At 43.8% G+C, this 22,266-nt stretch overlaps 1 pseudogene across 1 annotated transcript in view, besides 2 other annotated features; it reads left to right on the forward strand.

Annotated features, from left to right (window-relative positions):
• The window catches only part of GUSBP16 (GUSB pseudogene 16), a 153,001-nt pseudogene that overhangs the window by 64,171 nt on the left and 66,564 nt on the right, over positions 1-22,266 (forward strand). Inside the window, exons 4-8 of the transcript NR_146391.1 lie at positions 1,479-1,666; positions 5,249-5,333; positions 7,173-7,347; positions 11,822-11,957; positions 12,242-12,334. The product of NR_146391.1 is annotated as a GUSB pseudogene 16 (transcript). The remainder of the gene's footprint in view (positions 1-1,478; positions 1,667-5,248; positions 5,334-7,172; positions 7,348-11,821; positions 11,958-12,241; positions 12,335-22,266) is intronic.
• Positions 4,810-5,310: an enhancer, noted in NCBI's record as "H3K27ac hESC enhancer chr5:70084596-70085096 (GRCh37/hg19 assembly coordinates)". NCBI's record gives its function as "activates a minimal SCP1, AML or CMV promoter by ChIP-STARR-seq in naive H9 embryonic stem cells {active_cell/tissue: H9 hESC(naive)}" and the evidence as "EXISTENCE:reporter gene assay evidence [ECO:0000049][PMID:30033119]".
• Positions 5,311-5,811: an enhancer, noted in NCBI's record as "H3K27ac hESC enhancer chr5:70085097-70085597 (GRCh37/hg19 assembly coordinates)". NCBI's record gives its function as "activates a minimal SCP1, AML or CMV promoter by ChIP-STARR-seq in naive H9 embryonic stem cells {active_cell/tissue: H9 hESC(naive)}" and the evidence as "EXISTENCE:reporter gene assay evidence [ECO:0000049][PMID:30033119]".

Raw genomic sequence — 22,266 nt, forward strand, 5'->3', positions numbered from 1 at the left:
ATCAGTGATATTGAGCTTTTTCTCATATGCTTGTTGGCCGCATGTGTGTCTTCTTTTGAAGTGTCTGTTTATGTCCTGTGCCCACTTTCTAATGAGATTTTTTTTTTCTTGTAAATTTGTTTAAGTTCCTTATCAGTGTTGGACATTAGATCTTTGTCACATGCATTGTTGCAAAAATTTTCTCCCATTCTGTAGGTTGTCTGTTCACTCTGTTGATAGTTTCTTTTGCTGTGCAGAAGCTTCAAGAAGAAAGGAATCCGATTGGTTCTGTGTCTGTCTCTTTTGGTATTCTCAGAATTATGTAGTCATTCATATAGAAAGATGATTAGGAAAATAGGACAAGAATAGCAGAAATCTACATAAAAATGTAGGAAATTAAAATTAGTTACCAGCATACAAAAAACTTCTGTATGTTATAATTACATACTATAACTCACCCCTCCTTGGCAAATATTCTCTCTCTTTTGACTTCAAAATCATGGCTTATATGTACTTTCTCTATTTCCCAGATGCAAATATAATTAATTGACTTTATTTATCTAGGAAATGTTACTCATATCTTAATTGTAGTCATTGGCTTGAGTGACGGGTTTTGGTAATTCAACTACTATTACTTGAAAGTAGTAGATTTCATAGGATACTGTTATAAAATCTTTTTAACCTCTTTTCTGATTTCAGGAGTAATTAGTAATTGTGGTTTACTGGAAAATTCAATGAATAGGGTGTTAAAGGAAGCAATTCATTAATAATATATCTAATCTATTGGGAGACTGAGGCGGGTGGATCACCTGAGTTCAGGAGTTCGAGACCAGCCTGGCCAACATGGCAAAACTCCGTCTCTACTGAAAATAGAAAAATTCGCCGGGCATGGTGGTGCATTCCTGTATTCCCAGGTACTCGGAAGGCTGAGGCAGGAGAATCACCTGAACTCCAGAGGTGGAGGTTGCAGCGAGTCAGGATCGCAGCACTACACTCCAGCCTGGGTGACAGTGAGACTCCATCTCAAAAAAAAAAAAAAAAAAAAAAAAAATTAAAAAATTAAATTAAAAGCGGGCTGGGCGCATTGGTTCAGGGCCGGGCACGGTGGCTCAAGCCTGTAATCCCAGCACTTTGGGAGGCCGAGGCAGGCGGATCACGAGGTCAGGAGATCAAGACCATCCTGGCTAATGTGGTGAAACCCCGTCTCTACTAACAATACAAAAATTAGCTGGATGTGGTGGCAGGTGCCTGTAATCCCAGCTATTCCAGAGGCTGAGGCAGGAGAATCACTTGAACCTGGGAGGCAGAGGTTTCAGTGAGTCCAGATCATGCCACTGCACTCCAGCCTGGGTGACAGAGCGAGATTCTATCTCAAAAAAAAAAAAAAAAAGCAACAGAAGCAAATGAGAGTGCCTGGGAGTGGTCATTGTGGGGCCTTCCCGTTTGTGTGACCCAGGTCATGTCCCTCCCTAAGCCCTGGTCTCTCTTGCCTCCTGCAGGGCTGGTGAATTACCAGATCTCCGTCAAGTGCAGTAACCAGTTCAAGTTGGAAGTGTGTCTTTTGAATGCAGAAAACAAAGTCGTGGACAACCAGGCTGGGACCCAGGGCCAGCTGAAGGTGCTGGGTGCCAACCTCTGGTGGCCGTACCTGATGCACGAACACCCCGCCTCCCTGTACTCGTGGGAGGTAATGGTGGTTTGGGACTTGCGTAAGGGAGGTCTTTTGCCCCCATCTGGTAGCCCTGGCTTCAGCAGGAGCCCAGGACAGGTGAACGGGCAGGTGTGGTCCTCTGAGCTTTCTGATGTTTCCCACCCTTGGTGGGAGGCCCAGATTTTTTATTTATTTATTTATTTATTTATTTGTTTGTTTGTTTGTTTTTGTGATGGTCTCACTCTGTCACCCAGGCTGGAATGCAATGGCCTGATCACAGCTCACTGCAGCTTTGAGCTGCAATCCTCCTACCTTGGCCTCCTGAGTAGCTGGGACTACAGGCACATGCCACCATGCCTGGCTAATTAAAAAAATTTTTTTTGTAGGCCGGGCATGGTGGCTCACACCTGTAATCCCAGCACTTCGGGAGGCTGACGCGGGCAGATCACTTTAGGCCAGGAGTTGGAGACCAGCCTGGCCAACATGGTGAAACCCCGTCTCTACTAAAATATGAAAATTTGCAGGGCATGATGGTGCACGTCTGTAATCCCAGCTACTCGGGAGGCTGAGGCAGGGGAATTGCTTGAACCCAGGAGGCAGGGGCCGCGGTGAATTGAGATCATGCCGCAGCACTCTATCCTGGGTGACAGAGTGAGACTGTCTCAAAAAAAAAAACTCCTTTTTATAGAGTTGGGGTCTTACTAGGTTGCCCAGGCTGGTCTTGAACTCCTGGACTCAGGTGATCCTCCTGCCTTAGCCTCCCAAGGTGTAGGGATTCCAGGCATGAGCCACCTCGTCTGGTCAAGGAGAAGGCCTGATTTTGAAGGGCAGGTCCCAGGGTCAGCCAGTGAAGGGCAGAGCCTCTGGTTGCTGCTTCTCTGCAGGCCCAGTGGCGACTTCTGGGGTGCATGCACGAGGGGTCTTCCTGCTGTAGGGCAGGCCAGATGGGGCTCAGGCTGTCGGGGCGCTCACACCTGGCGCTTTGGCTGTCGTAGGTGCGGCTGACTGCACAGAAGTCACTGGGGCCTTTGACTTCTACACACTCCCTGTGGGGCTCCGCACTGTGCCCGTCACCGAGAGCCAGTGGGTGAGAGCCAGTTTCATTTGCGGTAGAGGCAGCAGAGGTTGTAGAAATGCTCCTTGAGGCAGATGCCACACCCCAATTTCATGGAGTGATTTGGGCTGAGCCGAGTCTGCAGCAGGCAGAAGGCTCTGAGATGTTGTCCTAGCCTGGGCAAAGGACAATTCAGAGCTCGGGGGAATAGGGGTGTGCTCAGCACGACTGGGTGGACAGGCCGTTTGTTGTGAATCGTACAGGCTTCCAGGAGCGGGTGCCTGAGGCTTCCAGACAGGCTTTGGGAGGTGGCCAGAGGAGATGCCTGTTTCCGGGGCAGGAAATGGAGGGAGGGCCCAGGCTGGAGAGGTTCAGCCAGGCTGTCACAAGGCTTTGAAGCTTCCCATCTGAGAGCCTGGCTATTGGAGAGTGTGGGTTTGGAACTTGAGGCTAGGAGGTTCTATTCTGTCCTGTGCCAGCCACAGCCTTCGGATGGGCAGAGCAATGATGGGGGGAAGATGTAAAAGAAAAGAACTGAGGAAAGAAGAAGAAAACCAGCTTCAACAACGGTCTAGGCCGGATGCGGTGGGTCACGCCTGTAATCCCAGCAGTTTGGGAGGCTGAGGTGGGTGGATCACCCGAGGTCAGGAGTTCGAGACCAGCCTGGTCAACAGGTAGTGAATCCTGTCTCTACTAAAAATACAAAAATTAGCTGGGCATGGTGGTGGACGTCTGTAATGCCAGCTACCAGGTAGGCTGAGGCAGGAGAATCGCCTCAGGTGAACCAGGAGGCAGAGATTGCAATGAGCTGAGATAATGCCACTGCATTCCAGCCTGGGCTACAGAATGAGACTCTGTATCTCAACAAAACAAAACAAAACAAAAACACAACAGTCTGTTCTGTGGAGGCCTTGGGCAGATGCTGGGAGCTCTGAGCACGGACTGGTCCCTCTGTTGGGAGCCTCTTCCCTTCATCCCTCCTGGTTAACTTGACTCAGCATAAAGGCCATTTCTTCTAAGAGCCTGTCCCTGACTCTCCAATCGGGGATGTGTCTGTTGTCTCATAGAGTGCCCAATTCCTGCCACCACTTGTCATTTCCATTCGCAACATTTCTTTCATTGTTTGTTTTTCAGAGTCAGGGTCTCACTCTGTTGCCCAGGCTGGAGTGCAGTGGTGCAATCATAGCTCGTTGCCATCTCGACCTCCTGGGCTTAAGCGATCCTCCCCACTCAGCCTCCCAAATAGCTGGGACCACAGACGTGCGCTGCCTTGCCAGGCTAAATTTTAATATTTTTTTTTTCCCCACGAGTCAGAGTCTTGCTCTGTCTCCCAGGCTGGAGAGCAGTGTTGCGATCTTGGCTCACTGCATCCTCTACCTCCTGGGTACAAACAGTTCTCCTGCCTCACCCTCCCGAGTAGCTGGGATTACAGGCTCACGCCACCATGCCCAGCTAGTTTTCTTCTTTATTTTTTGTTGAGATGGGGTTTCACCATGTTGGCCAGGCTGGTCTCGAACTCTTGAGCTCGTGATCCACCTGCCTTGGCCTCCCAAAGTGCTCACAGGCTTGAGCCACCATGCCCGGCCCTAATTTTTAAATTTGTTGTAGAAACAAGGTCTTGCTATGTTGTCCAGGCTGGTCTCAAGCGCCTGGTCTCAAGTAAGCCTCCCAAAGTGCTGGGGTTCTAGGCGTGAGCCACCTCGCCTGGCACTTGCACCGTTTTTCTGTGCATGCATCTCCACTCCCACTGCCCAGGACCTGTGGACTTAGATTTGAGTCATTACTGAGCACCTAGCACCCAGCCTCATGCCTACCTCCCACCTCGCACTACCTGTTTGCTTGATGCATTAATAAATATTCCACCTGAATCCACAGCCCATTCACTCCTGTGTTCAAGAGCTATTTCAGGAAGTGAACCTCATTTCTGGCAGTGTTCAGTCCAGTGACCTCAGCTCTGTGTACCCGGCAGGGTGGCTACGCCTCTGGGGGAGTTGGATTCAGGGGTGGGGGAGAAAGAGTGTTGTTAGAGAGCTCGGTCTAGGACTAGAGGAACGTGCCCTTATGTAAAATACATCTCAAGTTAGGGAAGAAAGCAGCGGCTCTGTGCTTTGTTTTTTTTTTTTTTTTCCTTTTTTTTCTTTCTTTTTTTTTTTTTGTTTGTTTGTTTGTTTGTTTGTTTTGGGGCAGGGTCTTGCTCTGTGGCCCAGGCTGGAGTGCAGTAGCGTGATTTCGGCTCACTGCAACCTCCACCTCCCGGGTTCAAGCAATTCTTGTGCCTCAGCCTCCCGAGTAGCTGGAGTTACAGATGCGTGCCACTATGCCTGGCTAATTTTTGTATATTTAGTAGAAATGGGGTTTTGCCATGTTGGCCAGGCTGTTCTTGAACCCCTGACCTCAGTGATCTGCCTGCCTCAGCCTCCTGAAGTGCTGGGATTACAGGCGTGAGCCATCGTGCCTGGCCCCCAGTTGTGTTCTGGCAGGGGAAGATGGGACAGAGAGGATGGGAGGGTGTCTGAGCCTTTCCCGGACTGACGGAACCTGTGTCTTCTCTCTTTTGTGGACAGGATGGTGATTGCTCACACCAAAGCCTTGGACCCCTCCCAGCCTGTGACCTTTGTGACCAACTCCACCTACGCAGCAGACAAGGGGGTGAGCCTGGGGGTCCCCACCCCATTTCTCCCTGCCTTTGCCTGGGCTTGTCCTGAAGCCTGCTCATGGGAACAGCTGGAAAGAACCATGTGCTGCCAGTCTGAGCTTTTTATTTTGTTTTACTTAGAAAGATAGAGACAGGGTCTTGCCATGTTGCCCAGGCTGGTCTCGAACTCCTGGGCTCAAGTGATCCTCCTGCCTCGGCCTTCCAAAGGGCTGGGGTTACAGGCGTGTGCCACCGCACTCAGCCGCAGCCAGTCTGTTTTCAAAGATGGTCTTTGGGTTAATGACAATTCTCTCTCTGCTTACTCTCCAGGCAGTGTGGCTTTCTGAATCCAAGGAGGCTGGGCATAGGGAGATGGGATTTGTTTGCCCGGTTTGGACTCAGCATTTTTTGTACTCGATTTAATAGACTCATAAAATGTCAAAGGTTTAAGTGAGCTTAGAGTTCATCTGGCCCAAACCTGGCTGATCAGAATCTCCAGGGGAAGTTTTATTGAAATGCCAGATCTCTGCGTTCTGAGATCCTGATTTAGTAACTCCAGGGTTGGAACCTGAGTTTTTTGTTTTTTTGTGTGTGTGTGTGAAGGCAAGGTCTTACTCTGTTGCTCTGGCTGGAGTGCAGTGGTGTGATCACAGCTCACTGCAGCCTTGAATTCCTGGGCCTAAGCAACCCTCTTGCCTCAGCCTTCCAAGTAGCTGGGACTCCGGGTGTACACCACTGTGCCCGGCTAATTTTAAATGTTTTTGTAGAGATGGGATCTCACTATGTTGCCCAGGCCAGTCTCAAACTCTTGAGCTCAAGTGATCCTCCTGCCTTAGCCTCCTAAAGTGCTGGGATTACAGGCATGAGCCACCGTGCTTGGCTGATACTAGCATTCTTTTTTTTTTTTTTTTTTTTTTTTAAGATAGAGTCTTGCTCTGTTGCCCAGGCTGGAGTGCAGTGGCACAGTCTCAGCTCAGTGCAACCTCCGCCTCCCAGGTTCAAGCAATTCTCCTGCCTCAGCCTCCCAAGTAGCTGGGATAACAGGCACATGCCACCACGCCTGCGCTTGATCGTGGGAGGCAGAGGTTGCATTATTGTGCCACTCCATTCTAGCCTGGGCAACAGAGCGAGACTCTTGTCTTCCAAACAAAGCGGAAAAAGATTATCTGCGAGAATGACTGCATTGGCCCCTTGGGTGGGAGGGCTTCTCCAGGGCAAGGTGAGGGGATGCCCAGTGCTGGGAGTGCTGCCTGGAGAGGAGTCAGTTCCAGTGGCAGGGGCCCTGGGTTTTGGCTGAGGACTGCGTGTTGGCAGCTGCTCTGCCTCTCACAGCCCTTCCCAGCTGCACACGTCGTGAGCGTCAGTGTGCAATCACAGGCCTGCCTCCTTTGGGCCACTTTGTGACCATGTTTTTTGCTTGTGGGGCAGGGTAATTTCAGGATCTAAATTGGTGCAGTTGGATGTTCTCAGCCCCGAGAGGCAGCTCTTCCCGTTGTAGGCTTTTTGTTTTGTTTTGTAGAAATGGAGTCCTACGATGTTGCCCAGGCTGGTCTCAAACTCCTGGGCTCAAGTGATCCTCCCACCTTGGCCTCCCAATGTGCTGGGATTACAGGCATGAGCCACTGTGCCGTGCTGATTTTCTTGATACTATTTTTTGTAGAGCTGGGGTCTTGCTGTGTTGCCCAGGCTGGTCTCGAACTCCTGGCCACAAGCCACCCTCCTGCCTCAGCCTCCCAGAGTGCTGGGATTACATCCCCTTCTTACCTTCTCTGTCAGAGGAGCCCCCACAGCATGTGAGTACTGAGTCATGCGGTCTTGTGGTTGCTGAACGGGCTCTGCTGCTCTGGTCCTAGGCTCTGTATGTGGATGTGATCCGTGTGAACAGCTACTACTCTTGGTATCGCAACTACGGGCACCTGGAGTTGATTCAGCTGCAGCTGGCCGCCCAGTTTGAGAATTGGTGTAAGACATCACAATCCCATTATTCAGAGCGCGTATGGAGTGGAAACGCTTGTAAGGCTTCACCAGGTAAGCGGTGTTGAACTTTCTGCTTGTGTATTCTCTCTGGGCAGAGATGCCACTTGCCTCCCCCACCCTGCCCTGCGCCCACTGCAGTGCTCCCCTTGCTTCAGCTTTGGGCTCACCTCCCGCTACCCTGTCCACGTTCCCTTCTCACCAGCAGCCAGGCCTCTGCCCCACTCGCTTGGTCCTCAAAGGTGGACTCCTTACTGGCCTTGTTTCCAGACAGCCTCCTATCACCCGTGCCCAAGTGGTCTTTCTAAGAAATCCAAATTTTTATGTGTTTTTGAGACCGCCTCTCTCTCTGTCACCCAAGCTGGAGTGCGGTGGTGCGATCACTGCTCCCTGCAGCCTTAACCTCCTGGGCCCAAGCGATCTTCCCACCTCAGCCTCCTGAGTATCTGGGACCATAGGCACAGGCCACCATGCCTGGCTAATGTTTTTACTTTTGTAGAGATGGGGCGTTGTTGTGTTCCCCGGGCTGGTCTTGAATTCCTGGGATCAAGTGACCCTCCTGCCTCAGGCTCACAAAGCGCTGGGATTTACAGGTGTGAGCCACTGTGCCCGGCCACAAATCAAAATTTTTGAGTCCTGTCATTGGCTCCCCCAGGCCCATAGGACAAAGTCCTAACCCCTAGTCAGGACACTCAGTGTCCTCTGCTCTCTCCTGGGTTTTCATCCTCTTCTCTTCTCACTCCTGGCCACTGATCTGTTTCCACTGCCCTCATTTGCTCTCCTGCTCTTGCTTGAGCTATTCTTTCTGCCTGGAATGCCCAAGTTGGCACCATAATCACCAACTAAAAGATCCTTTTCTTTTTATTTTTTTAGAGATAGGGTCTTGCTATGTTGCCCAGGCTGGTCTCAAACTCCTGGACTCAATTGATCTTTTTGCCTTGGCCTCCCAAAGTTCTGGGATTAACAGGTGTGATCCACTGTGCTAGCCTTTTTTTATTTTTTATTTTTTTCCTGACAGGGTCTTGTTCTGTTGCCCAGGCTGGAGTGTGGTGGTGTCATCATAGCTCACTGCAGCCTCGAACTCCTGGGCTGAAGCAATTCTCCTGCCTCAGCCTCCTGAGTAGCTGGGACTACAGGCGTGCACCACCATGTGCAGCCTAGTTTTAAAATATTTTGTAGAGATGAGTCTCGCTATCAGGCTGGTCTTCACCTCCTGTCTTGGACTCCCAAAGTACTGGGAATACAGGCATGAGTCACGACACGTGGCTGAAAAGATTCCTATTTGGCATCTGAGTCTCCTCATAGCTGTCCCCTCTGTGGGGAGGTTTACCCTGCCTGCCCCAGGCGGAGGGAACCTTCCCCGTGCTCTGCCCTGTTGCAGCCGGAACCTGGCTCCCCCAACATTCTCGCCAGGCACCGTTGTTATTTCTTTGGCTCTCTCTTTGATCGGACTGTGGGCTCAGGAGACAGGAGTCCTATTTATTGTTGTTTCCCAGGTACTCTGCAATAGCTGACACAGTACATGCTAAATAATACCTATTGAGGGCATGGGTGAGATCTTAGAGCCATGTTTAATCACTCACTTTGTCTTTTTTTTTTTTTGAGATGGAGTCTCACTCTGTCACCCAGGCTGAAGTGCAATGGTGTGATCTCAGCTCACTGCAACCTCCACTTCCTAGGCTCAAGCGATTGTCCTGCCTCAACCTCCCAAGCAGCTGGGATTACAGGCACCTGCCACCATGCCCAGCTAATTTTTGTATTTTTGTAGAGGTGGGGTTTTGCCATGTTGGCCAGGCTGGTCTTGAGCTCCTGACGTCAAGTGATTTGCCTGCTTCCGCGTCCCAAAATCCTGGGATTACAGGCCTGAGCCACCATGCCTGGCCTGTCCTCATTTGTTTATCCATCTCATTTTTTGTCCTTCTCACCAAAGATATGTTGCTTTGTCTTGTGGGGTTTTTTTCATGTGGATTCCTGAACCCCATCCAGCCCCTTGTCCCCTCCCCAGCCAGCTCACACTCTTTTGCACAGCTCCTGGGACTCCCGTTGACACACAGGGAACAGCCACCCACAATGGACTGCACTGTTCTGTTTGCACCCTTAAATTTATCGTGCTTACAGAATGACACTTCTGCAAACTAGTCAAGTAGGGGGAAGTGATTTGTGGATATGCACCCTTGTTCATTCTCTTTGAAAAGGTAACCAGCTCTGAATTCTTTCTCCTTTTAGGAGGAGTTTCACTTGTCGCCCAGGCTGGAGTGTAGTGGTGCAATCTTGACTCACTGCTACCTCCGCCTCCCAGGTTCAAGCAATTCTCCTGCACCAGCCTCCCAAGTAGCTTGGATTACAGGCATGCACCACCATGCTCACCTAATTTTTTTTTTTTTTTTTTTTTTTTTTAGTAGAGATGAGGTTTCACCACGTTGGTCAGGCTGGTCTTGAACTTTTGACCTCAAGCGATCCACCTGCCTTGGCCTCCCAAAGTGCTGGAATTACAGGCATGAGCCACCATACCCAGCCCCAGTTCTGAATTCTTAAGAAACTCGAGAGGGTCTAGGTGAGCATTGATAGAACCTCTGCAGTGCTGGGTGTGCTGGCTCACACCTGGAATGCTAGCCCTTTGGGAGACCGAGGTCAGAGGATCTCTTGAGCCCAGGAGTTTGAGACCAGTCTGCACAACATGGACCCCATCTCTACAAAATATTTAAGATGAGTTGTGGCTGGGTGCAGTGGCTGACGCCTGTAATCCCAGCACTTTGGGAGGCTGAGGTGGGTGGATCACGAGGCCAAGAGTTCAAGTCCAGCCTGACCAAGATGGTGAAACCCCGTCTCTACTAAGAAAACACAGAAATTAGCTGGGTGTGGTGGCATGCACCTGTAATCCCAGCTACTCAGGAGGCTAAAGCAGGAGAATCGCTTGAACTGGGGAGGTGGAGGTTGCAGTGAGCCGAGATTGTGCCACTGCACTCCAGCCTGGGCGACAGAGCAAGAGTCCGTCTCAAAAAAAAAAAAAAAAAATAGTTGGGTATGGTCGTGCTTGCCTCTAGTCCCAGCTACTTGGGAGGCTGAGGTAGGAGGACTGTTTGAGCCCAGTAGGTCAAGGCTGCAGTCCGCCATAATTGCACCACTGTACTCCCACCTGGGTGACAGAGTGAGACCTTGTTTCAAAAAAGAACCTTTGCAATGATGGAAATGCCCCATGTCTGCACTGTCTGAAATGGTAGCCACTAGCTACATGTGGCTATTGAGGTCTTGATATATGACTAGGATAACTGAATTTATTTGGTTTAATTAAAAAAAATTTTTTTTTGAGACAGCCTTACTCTGTTGCCCAGGCTGGAGTGCAGTGGCGTAATCACAGCTCACTGCTCAACCTCCTGGGCTCAAGTGATCCTTCCTCCTCGGCCCCCCAAGTAGCTGGAGCCACAGTCATGCGCCACTACACCTAGCGAATATTTAGCCTTTTTATAGAGACTGGGTTTTACTGTGTTGCCTAGGCTGATCTTGAACTCCTGAGCTCAAGTGATCCTCCTGCCTCGACCTCCCAAAGTGCTGGGATTACAGACCTGAGCTACCATGCCCAGCCTGGTTTAGTTTAATTTCATTTTACATTCATTCATTCATTCATGAGATAGGGTCTTGTTCTGTCACCCAGGCTGGAGTGTAGTGGTGCAAACCACAGCTTTGACCTCCGGGACTGAAGCAGTCCTCCCACCTCAGCCTCCCAAGTAGCTGGGACCACAGGTGTGTGCCTCCATGCTTGGCTAACTTTTGTACTTTTTGTAGGCTAGTCTTGAACTCCTAGGCTCAAGCAGTCCTCCCACCTCGGTCTCCCAAAGTGCTTGGATGACAGACATGAGCCAGCGCGCCTGACCTAAAGACATATTTTTCCTTCTAGTGTAGTTCAGCCTTAAGACTGTATCAGCAGACAGAGACGGAAAAGTAAGAAAAATTGAGTATCAGGTTATATTTATAAATAAAGCAGTTGCTAATTGATGGTTTTTTTTTAAACCTCCTTTTTAATTCTGGGTTACATCATTCCCTGGCTGTCGTTTCTTTTTTTGTATTTTTTTATTATTATTATTATACTTTAAGTTTTAGCGTACATGTGCACATTGTGCAGGTTAGTTACATACGTATACATGTGCCATGCTGGTGTGCTGCACCCACTAACTCGTCATCTAGCATTAGGTATATCTCCCAATGCTATCCCTCCCCCCTCCCCCCACCCCACAACAGTCCCCAGAGTGTGATGTTCCCCTTCCTGTGTCTATGTGATCTCATCGTTCAATTCCCACCTATGAGTGAGAATATGCGGTGTTTGTTTTTTTGTTCTTGCGATAGTTTACTGAGAATGATGATTTCCAATTTCTCCCTGGCTGTCTTTACCCTAGCATCAGTGAGTCCTGCAGTCCCTACAGCCCCCAGTGAGGACAGATATTTTGGTCACCATCAAGTGGATCTTTATTTTTATCTAACATTTACAATTCTGCCAGTTCTTACTCTTAATTCTCTTTGCCTTGAATCCCAGGATCCACCTCTGATGTTCAGTGAAGAGGACCGGAAAAGTCTGCTAGAGCAGTACCATCTGGGTCTGGATCAAAAACGCAGAAAATACGTGGTTGGAGAGCTCATCTGGAATTTTGCCGATTTCATGACTAACCAGTGTAAGTGGCAGTTTAGCGCATGGGATAATGTACCCGTCCTCATTTTTTCAGGTTGCCTTGCCCATTCTGGACATTTTGGCTGTAAGAATATTGGAAACAAAGGGGGGAACCTGGTTTAATCCATGTAGGTTGTGTTGAGAATTTCCTAGGAAAAGTAAGTTGTGCTTAGGAAGTAGGAAAGCAGTCAGGCCCCCGCTTCCCACGTACGGTCAAAAAGCAAACATGAGAGTCTGCTATAGTGAGATGGAAATGGCTAGCTTGCCTTTTTCTTGTCTATTTCATAGCCAAGGATGAAGGAAAAACTGGACCTCATTATGGATTTACTTTTGGGATACACTCATTATTCCAGAGGAGGGTAAAAGGCTGAGAAGCTTAAGGTATTTCAGTCTGTTTTATGTTACTCATTTGCGAAAAGCAGGCTCATCGAATACAGGTGAGTTTCAACGCGTCTTGAATATGGCAGCATTTAAAAGTCTTCAGACCAGGCATGGTGGCTCATGCCTGTCATCCCAGCACTTTGGGAGGCCAAGGTGGGAGGATTGCTTGAGGCCAGGAGTTCGAGACCAGCCTGTTCAGCATAGCAGGACCCCCATCTCTACAAAAACTAAACAGATTAGCTAGGTGTGGTGGTGTGTGCCTGTAGTCCTAGCTGCTTGGGAGGCTGAGGCAGGCGGATAGCCTGAGCACAGGAGTTGGAGGCTGCAGTAAGCCATGATTACACCACTGCACTTGAGCCTGGGCAGCAGAGTGAGACCTGTCTTTAAAAAAAAAAAAGGAGCTGGGCACGGTGGCTCATGCCTGTAATCCCAGCACTTTGGGAGGCCGAGGCAGGCAGATCACGAGGTCAGGAGATCGAGACCATCCTGGCTAACAGTGAAACCCTGTCTCTACTGAAAATACAAAAAAAATCAGCCGGGCGTGGTGGCGGGTGCCTGTAGTCCCAGCTGCTCGGGAGGCTGAGGCAGGAGAATGGCATGAACCCAGGAGTTGGAGCTTGCAGTGAGCCGAGATTGTGCCACTGCACTCCAGCCTGGGCGACAGTGAGACTGCTTCTCAAAAAAAAAAAAAAAAAAAAAAAAAAAGAAAGGGTCTTCAAAGACAATAAGATCTGTGCTCTCACGTAGGGTGGATGAGGGGCTGCCAAGTTAGCAATGAATGTTTCCCATTTCTTCTTAGTTTATGGACTTTCCATAAACTCAGGATGGCAGTTTGGTTGGTTGGAGAAGGATATGGTGATGGCGGGAGTTACAATACATTACTTATAGGGGAAGATAGGCTTTTGAAAGGTTAAAGCTTAAAAGTGAGAATGGAAAAGGGATGAATGAATGAACATGATGAGGTGAGAGGGAAGAGGTAAAGGGAAAAGGAGAACAAGCAACTCTTCTCTGCGTGGCACCTGGGATGAATGGTTTCTGGGGACATCCCTGATGGCAGTTTTGTGGAGAGGTGCAAAGCTTTATGTGTTAAGAAATGAGCTGTAGGCTCAGTGCAGTGGCTCACGCCTGTAATCCCAGCACTTTGGGAGGCCGAGGTGGGTGAAAAGAAAAAATGGGCTGGGCGCCGTGGCTCACGCCTGTAATCCCAGCACTTTGGGAGGCCGAGGTGGGCGGATCATGAGGTAAGGAGTTCGAGAGCAGCCTGGCCAACATGGTGAAACCGTGTCTCTCCAAAAAAATAGAAAAAACATCCCTGTATGGTGGTGAGCACCTGTAGTCCCAGTTACTCAGGAGGCTGAGGCATGAGAATCGCTTAAACCTCGGAGGCGGAGGCTGCAATGAGCTGAGATGGTGCCACTGCACTCCAGCCTGGGTGACAGAGCTGGGTGGTGGCTCAAGATATGTTTTGTAAACCTGAAGATTTGAGATCATATAAGCCAAATCGAAACTTAATTGGCATTCATAACTTTTGGTTCTAGAGACTCCATGATCAACTAAGAGCCACCAAACATTTCCCATGTAGACTATTTTGACCATGCTGACTCTACTGACACTGTGGTTACTGAATTCACTTTATCTCTAGAAATTAATTCTTACTAATGGATGTCTGTCACTGTAAGATCCTTCTCTCCTCTGAAATAAGGAGAACATTTTAACTTCAGTAGTTTAAACTAGTGTCCTAAACTATAGCATTCAAAATGAGATAATATGCTAAAGTAATACACAAACCAAAAATCCCAGTGGCTAACACAAAAAGTTTTTCTTATTCATTTTACATATCCAGGGTAAGTCAGTAATAGACGCAGACACACCCAGAGACCAAGGATGAGTTGTGATCTGTCTGCACACATAGTTCACAATGCCTGAGTGAGTTGTGCTTTGGCCTTTAAACTTCCACTCATGTTTAATTAATAAAGATTTTGCTCAAATGCCATTTGATGATGAGTTTCATGACGATGATCAACTTTAAAAGAACTTGGAAGTACAATCCTCAAGCGTTTCTGGAAATAGCAGAACTACAATATTTGAGAAAAATATTTTTTAATGTATAAAAAATTGGCAGGGTAGGCTAGCAAGCAAGAGACCTAGAGAAAAGTTGATGTTACAGTCTCAAGTCGAAAGGCAATCTGCAGGCAGAATTATTTCCTTGAGGGATCTCAGTCTTTTAATATAATCAATTGACTGGATGAGCCCTACAATATTTTGGAAAATAATCTGCTTTTCTCAGAAATTACTGATTTTCATGTTAATCTCATCTAACAATACTTTCAGAGCAACATCTATACTGGTATTTGAATATATAACTCTTTTATCTTTTAAAATATCAAATAATACAGTTATATATACATACACACATATGTATATATGTCACCTAAATTGTAGATATCAGAAATCAGAATGCTGTGATATGAATATTTAGTATATTTTAATCATGATAAATTATACATCCTTCTACCTTATGATAATGGATTTTAAGATCTATGCTGTTAAACTCTATATTTATCCTTTAATTCATATCTTGCTTATTTTACATTTATCTGAGAATACATTGGGTCTACTAAATCTTTACTATCATTCACAAGTCTTACATCTTAAGATAACTTTTCAATAAAATAAAAATTCTTCATTGCACCTAGAAAGGAGCAGGGTTTTGAAAGCGATCAATGATTACTCTGATACCTAATATAATAATATAATATAGTAAAAATCAAAATACTTGAATGAAAAATGTAAAATTAATAATTTTGCTTTCATTGTTTTTATTCCAGTGTCTATTTTAGAATGTTTTTACTCTAATTGTGTTTTTATGCAAAACCAAATGAGCTTTAGATAATTCCATTGATACATTACATATGAAAGTTCTCGTTAAATAGGATATAGCATATTTTACTTAAAAATCCAAATTATAAAATAAAGAGGGATTTTAAGTTGAGTCTAAAATTTTTGTTTCAATTTTGTTTTTATTTAAAGACTTGCTATAATTCTGTGAGAGAGCTATAAAAGTCTGCTCAGAAACATTATAATGTAAAATGGACAGAGAAGGACAATGAGATATTTAATTTGCCACGGCAAAGCCATTGCTGTGAAGAATGGATAATATATGTCAATGGTAATATATGAAGAAATAACACAGGTGAATAGCAGAGGCAATAAATCTGTTTTTACCACAGGACTTGTCTTACACTTTTCTCTTAGTAATAAATAAAATAATTTTCGACCAGATGGAGCTGGCTTGAAATCCTCTTGTTTATGGCAGTACATATCGGTTATGATTCAAAAAATATAGCCCATTTCCAAAAACCTGCAACAAAGAGATACTTTCTCAGGTGAGTGTTCAGATCATTATTCATTACAAAGTGTCAGTTTTGTCTTTATTGATCCTCATTATTGTAAGAAAGTATGTGGTCCTGTCTCCATTCTATTAAAACAACATTGTAGAGATTAGCACTGAGTCTTTCCAGCCATGTGCATCTGTTCATTTCCGTCTCCAGCTTGAGTTTTTCTGTGTATTACAAAATAAGAAAACAAAAATGACACAATAATCTATTTTGTCTGGTTTTGCTCTTTATTAGTAGAAATAGACAAGTGAGGAGTTGGAGGAAGAAATTGCTTCTGATCTGTTTTAGATACAGGTGAAACTCTCCCTCCCTCCCCGCCCTACCCAGTCTTTCTCTGTCTCCCTCCCTGAGCCTATTCTTGCTTCTTCCCTTTACAAATAATTAACTGCTCAGGTCATGTTGAACCAAAAAATAGCGTCTGTAGCCCCTGTGTGCTTACTTTAAGTATATGTTACTGAAAAATGCGGAGTGAGCACTTAACAACTCATTCTCCTGGGAAGCACAGTGCTACTATACCCCAAATGCTTTTCTTTATCATTTTAATTTTTATCTTCTTTACTTACATTTCCAACATCAGTTAAGAGGGTCTTGTAGTTTTCTAACTGAAAGGAGACTGTAAAATCTCCTTGCTCAAAACTCAGATGCAGAATATTATTTTTACTACAATAAATACATCTACAACAATGGTATTATATCTGGTTTATTTCAAAGTCAAGTTCTAATACAGGTAAACAAATATACTAATAAAGAGATAATGCTTTTCTCATGAAATGTATAATCTAGTAGGAATAAAGATAAACAATTTTTTTAAAAATTCTATTTCATTAAGCAAAAATGCAACTCAGAAGAATAATGTATATTAGCAGTCATTTACTATTTTTCAATTAAATTCCGATATATATGTAAAGTAAATTATTACTAATATCAAACATAGTTTAAAGAATTAGTGACTATGTGCACTTGGATCTCCATATGTAATGTACTATCAGCATCTTCACAAACACAGTAAATTTTAATATGCAAGTAAAACTTATTTTACTAAACGATGATTACTCCTTCTATATTCATATTCCTAAACACATACAGTTTCTTAATGTAATTAAGTTTTTAACTAAAAAAAGGGAAATGCATTATTGAGGCGATAGGATTACTGGGTGGCTATAAACACATCTGCTGCACAGCTGACATTTATCTTCTACAATGAGCAGTGACAATTTTATTTTTTAATAATCAGTATGGACTAATCCTGATGATTTTTTTTAACATTTTCAAATAGGGCTGCATATGGCTTAAAATTAATATATACATGTGTACCTATATAATATTCTTATTTATTAATGGACTTCCTACATAGCTCATATTGACGTTAGATTTAAATGAAATTCCAGAAGGGTTTTCTATAGGTAAGTCATACATTGGATTTCCATATTACCTATGATTATTGAAGTATTTATTTCTGTTTTTAAGACTTCAGAGCAATTTTGCTGGTCATTTGTTTTCTGTGTTTTTATTTTGAAATTGTTCTTTGAGGCATTGTCCTATTACATTTTTAAGGTATGTTAATAAAATAATATTTTTAATGAAATTTTGCCTACTGCTTTCCAGGTGAACTCTTGTTTAAAGTATTAATTCACCAAAAATTACTTATATTCAGAAAATGAACTAAAAAAAATAATATGACGTGTTCAAGAAAGTCGAACAAAAGTTACGTGATGTTTGCAACATACACAACTCCATACCCTTCTCAAATAGTAAAGAGAATAGTAAATAGAATAGGTAGTAAGCAGAGTAGGAATTGTGGAATATGGAACTCTCAGTCACTCAACTGACTTTATTTTTTAGTAATACGGGATTTGAATTATTCAAGCTGAAGCCATTAAATATTCATAGTGCTTCGTATTATAAAGTTATTGATTAATGTCTTTGGTAAAGAACACTATTATTTCTGATTACATCAAGGTCATCCCGAGGAACAGGACCAAAGCATAAAGTTTTATATATGAAATATGAGAAGTTAATACATAATTCATATTTAACAGATAACATAAATGTTAACCCCTTGGAGAATCTGAAGCTAATACCCATGTTCTTCTGGCAATTCTTTATACTGGCAATTTGGAAAATGCCAGTGTTTTATCGCTACCTATTCTTGTATTATGACATGAATTAATACATATCTGCCTCACTATTCCTGTGGGCAAAAAAAGACTGTGAATTATGTGCCAGAGAGAGATTTTACAAAATTAAATGAGGCAAAGTACTTTTCCTCTGTATACTCATTAGAAATATGCTGAGTAGTTCCTTTCAGTTCCTTTCACTTTCCGATAAAATATAATCAGTTCAGCCATATAACAGATATCTTTTAAACTTTTAATGTCCTCTGTTAGAATGAATATGATATTTGGGACCAATTCACATTTTGGAATAATGTACATACTAAGCATAAGTGAAGAATTTAAACATTAACTTGATTTAGGACTGGACTCTTAAGAGGTTTTAAAAAGTTGAAAAACGGAATTCCAACAAATTTAAATGGCTTGTTTAGGGTTTCCACAGGCAATACGGGTGGGTGCAATGGAAAGAGAATTCCTTTAATCTAAACGTGGGCTTTATTCTGGCTCTGCCACATATTGACTGTTTCATACAAATGTAACTTAAACTGCAGGTGTCATGATTTTTCACACATATACAAATAAAACAATGTTGATTATATAGGATTTGTTGAGAAAATGCAATTATGCCAAGTACAAGTATTTGGCCTATTATCTCACTTTATAAATATTAGCAATTCTTTTTGTGGAGGGAATAAATCTAACATGCTGGCTTTTAGAATTTCTTCTTATTTTTCTTTCAACTTTATTGCCATGTAACATCTTTAAGTCAATAAATCTGACAATTAGACTGTGGGTAATTTTCTTCCAAATCCATATCTTGTTTTCTCTATCCATAGTAGCATTTTAAAACAACAGAAGGGAACTTTAATTACAGTAGGTTGGGAGCCATTTTCTCCCTTTGGTCATATTTTCATTGAAATTCCTACATTGTTTAATATTAGGACTTAGTTTGAATATCACATCAACAAGGTTGCTCAATAGAAATATTATGGAATCATTTTTCTGTCATGCCACAGAACTTATTAACTGTATGTTCAAAATGCAGCTCAATTCTGATCATTTTTGCTACTTTCACCACTAGCATCCTGGTGCTAACCACCATCATTTATTGCCCAGGTTATTGAAATGGCCAGCAAACAGGTGTTTCTGATTCTGCGTAAGGCACCCTTCAGTACATCCTCAAAAGAGCAATTTGTATAATCACTTTAAAACATGTATCAGGTTATTACCTTCTTCTGTGTAAAACTCTGATCTCTCGTTTCATTCATTGTAAAAGTCAGAATCTTGCACAATGCTTTATAGATGCTCCACCACATGAAGCCCCCAATTCTTCTATGGACTTCCCTCCTTCCACTATGTAATTTTCTCACTCAGCTTCACGTACAGTATTTTCTTGGTTATTACTAAACATGCAACAGATACGGTTTGTTCTATATCTTCCTCATGCTTTTGGTCAGATGCCATTATCCCAGTGAGGTTTTCCATAGCCACTTTATTCAAATTCCAAACAATCTGTCCCCTTAGACATTCTCCATTCTTAATTTTTTGCCATTGTACTTACTACAGTCTAACACACTATACATGTTACATTTTTGCTTATTGTTTATTGTATAGTCCCTAGAATATTAGTTCCCTGAGGACAGAGATTTCTGTAAGCTTTTCCAAAGATGTATCCCCAAAGCCTAGAATGCTACCTGGCAACAAATACTTGTTATAATGAATTAGAAGTGGGTAGATTCACACATCAGAGACAGCGTAGTGTATATAATGATTTTTTAAAGCATTAGAGTCATAGATATTAGGATTTGTATTATGTCTTCACCATTTACAATTATGCTACCCTCAACAAGTTGTTTAATCTTTCCATTCCTCAGTTTCCTCATGACTCATATATTGGAAATATTGTCTACCTTAGAGCTCTTCCAAGAGTAATATTGAGACAATGTTTCAACAATGTTTAGCACATTGCTGAATATTAATACATTATTTCTATTAATGTAAGAAATTTCATAGACTTGCTAGAAATAACGAGGATGGAATATAGATGAAGATCATAAAACATGATGGAAATAAATGTTGGAAAATGTGGGTGGTATCCTTAGCACACTCTCTAACGTAAGGAGTAAAATCTGTGTCATATGACTTTATCTTTCTTCTGGAAACTAACGGAATTTAGTAACACACTTTTCTTGACCTGAGGATTTGCCCTTACCACAAAATTGTTTTTGAAACTTGAGTGTTTACAATGGCTTTTTACCAGTTCTTTTATGTTCTACCAGTTCCTCTCCAATTTACTATGGACTGAAGTCACACTAATTTGTTAAGAGCAAACAAAACAAAACAAAACAAAACAGTTATTACCTCATTCTAGCCTCAAAGCATCTGCCTTTTCAATGCAATCAAAATTAAATGCAATGAAAATTAAATGCAATCAAAATTAAATGCACAATTCTAATTTTGATGACTTTAGTCCCTGCTTATCTGTTATATTAGGCTGTTCTTGTATTGCTATGAAGAAATATCTGAGACTGGATATTATAAAAATGTTTAATTGACTCACAGTCCTGCAGGCTGTACAGGAAGCACAGTGGCATCTTCTTCTGGAGAGGCCTCAGGGAGCTTTTACTCATGACAGAAGGCAAAGCAGGAGCAGGCACTTCACATGGTGAAAGCAGGAACAAGAGAGAGAGAGTGTGTTGGGGTAGGTGCACTACCATGGAGACAGCACCAAGTCACGAAGGATTCGACCTCATGATCCAAACACTTCCCACCAAGCTCCACCTTCAGCACTGGGGATCTGGTTTCAACATGAGATTTGGGCGGGACATCCAAACTATATCATCTGTCTCCCTCATCCAAGACCATGTGATCCGTAGCTCACTTTTGTCTAGCAACAGATTAAATACAGCATTTTCTGTGTGATATCTTTGTTGAGGTCTTTGCAGATGGCTGTTTCTTTGTCCTGAAACTTTCTTCATCTGCTCTTTCAAAATGAGTGACTCTTCATCCTCGAAGTCTATGCTTATATATTGCTTTTCAGAGGAATCTTTTCTGAACTGGGCATTCTGCCTTCAACCAACTATTTTCTATTATAGTTTCCTGTTTGTGAGTTAATAGTCCTTTTGAAAATTTGACTACTCATTTACCTTCTTGGGTTATTTGAAATTATCTCCTCTTCACTAGATTCTATAGAAGCATAGCCATGCCTGCCCTCTTTACTGTTTCTCTACTGACTTGTTGCAATGAATATTGTCAGTAAACATGGAAATAAATCAGTTATTCAGATATCCTACCTTGGTGCTTGCTTAGATAACTCCACACTGTGATGCCTAATGACCTACACAGGGCTTTCTAGCAAGGAGTGACTTTCTTTCTGCTACGTGTAATAATGATCCGTCAACTTAAACATATAGTTATATTTCCAGCAGACGGTTTCTTGAAACTAATGTCCAGGGTGTAGTTATTCAAAAAAGCAAACTCTTCTCTTGATTTCTGCCATACATTGGTACTCTTTCTCTCTCCCTTTTTTATTTTATTATTTTTTTTTGAGACAGAGTCTCACTCTTTCACCCAGGCTGTGGTGCCATCCCAGCACACCCTGCAACCCATTGCCTCCCAGATTCAAGCGATTCTCCTGCCTCAGCCTCCCTAGTAGCTGGAATTACAGGCATGTGCCACCATGCCTGACTGATTTTTTGTATTTTTAGTGGAGACGGGATTTCACCATGTTGTTCAGGCTGGTCTCAAACTCCTGACCCCTAGTGATCCATCTGCCTCAGCCTCCTAAAGTGCTGGGATTACAGGCGTGAGCCACCCCGCTCGGCCTACTCTTTTATTTCTGTTTTGTCTTTCCTTTCTCAAGAAAGAAAACAAACGAAAACCAAAACAGTTTGGAAGACTTTATAGTATTCATCCATACAAAAGAACAAGATCATGTCCTTTGCAGGAACATGGGTGGAGCTGGAGACCATTATCCTCAGCTCCACCCATCCTCAGCTCCCACTAACGCAGGAACAGAAAAACAAATGCAGCATGTTCTTATTTATAAATGTGAGCCAAGTGATAAGAACACATGGACTCATAGAGGAGAACACCACACACTCGGACCTACCTGAGAGTAGCGGGTGGGAAAACGGAGAGGTTGAGGAAAAGTAACTAATGGGTACTAAGCTTAATACCCGGGTGACAACATAACCTGTACAACAAATCCCCATGACACGAGTTTACCTGTATAACAAACCTGCACGTGTACTGCTGAACTTAAACTAAAAGTTAACAAAAGGCCAGGTGCAGTGTTTCACACACGTAATCCCAGCACTTTGGGAGGCTGACATGGGTGGATCACCTGAGGTCAGGAGTTCAAGACCAGCCCGACCAACTAAATACAAAAAGTTAGCTAGATGTGGTGGCAGGTAATCCC

Source organism: Homo sapiens, chromosome 5 (assembly GCF_000001405.40).
Source record: "Homo sapiens chromosome 5, GRCh38.p14 Primary Assembly".
Classification (NCBI taxonomy): Eukaryota; Metazoa; Chordata; class Mammalia; order Primates; family Hominidae; genus Homo; species Homo sapiens.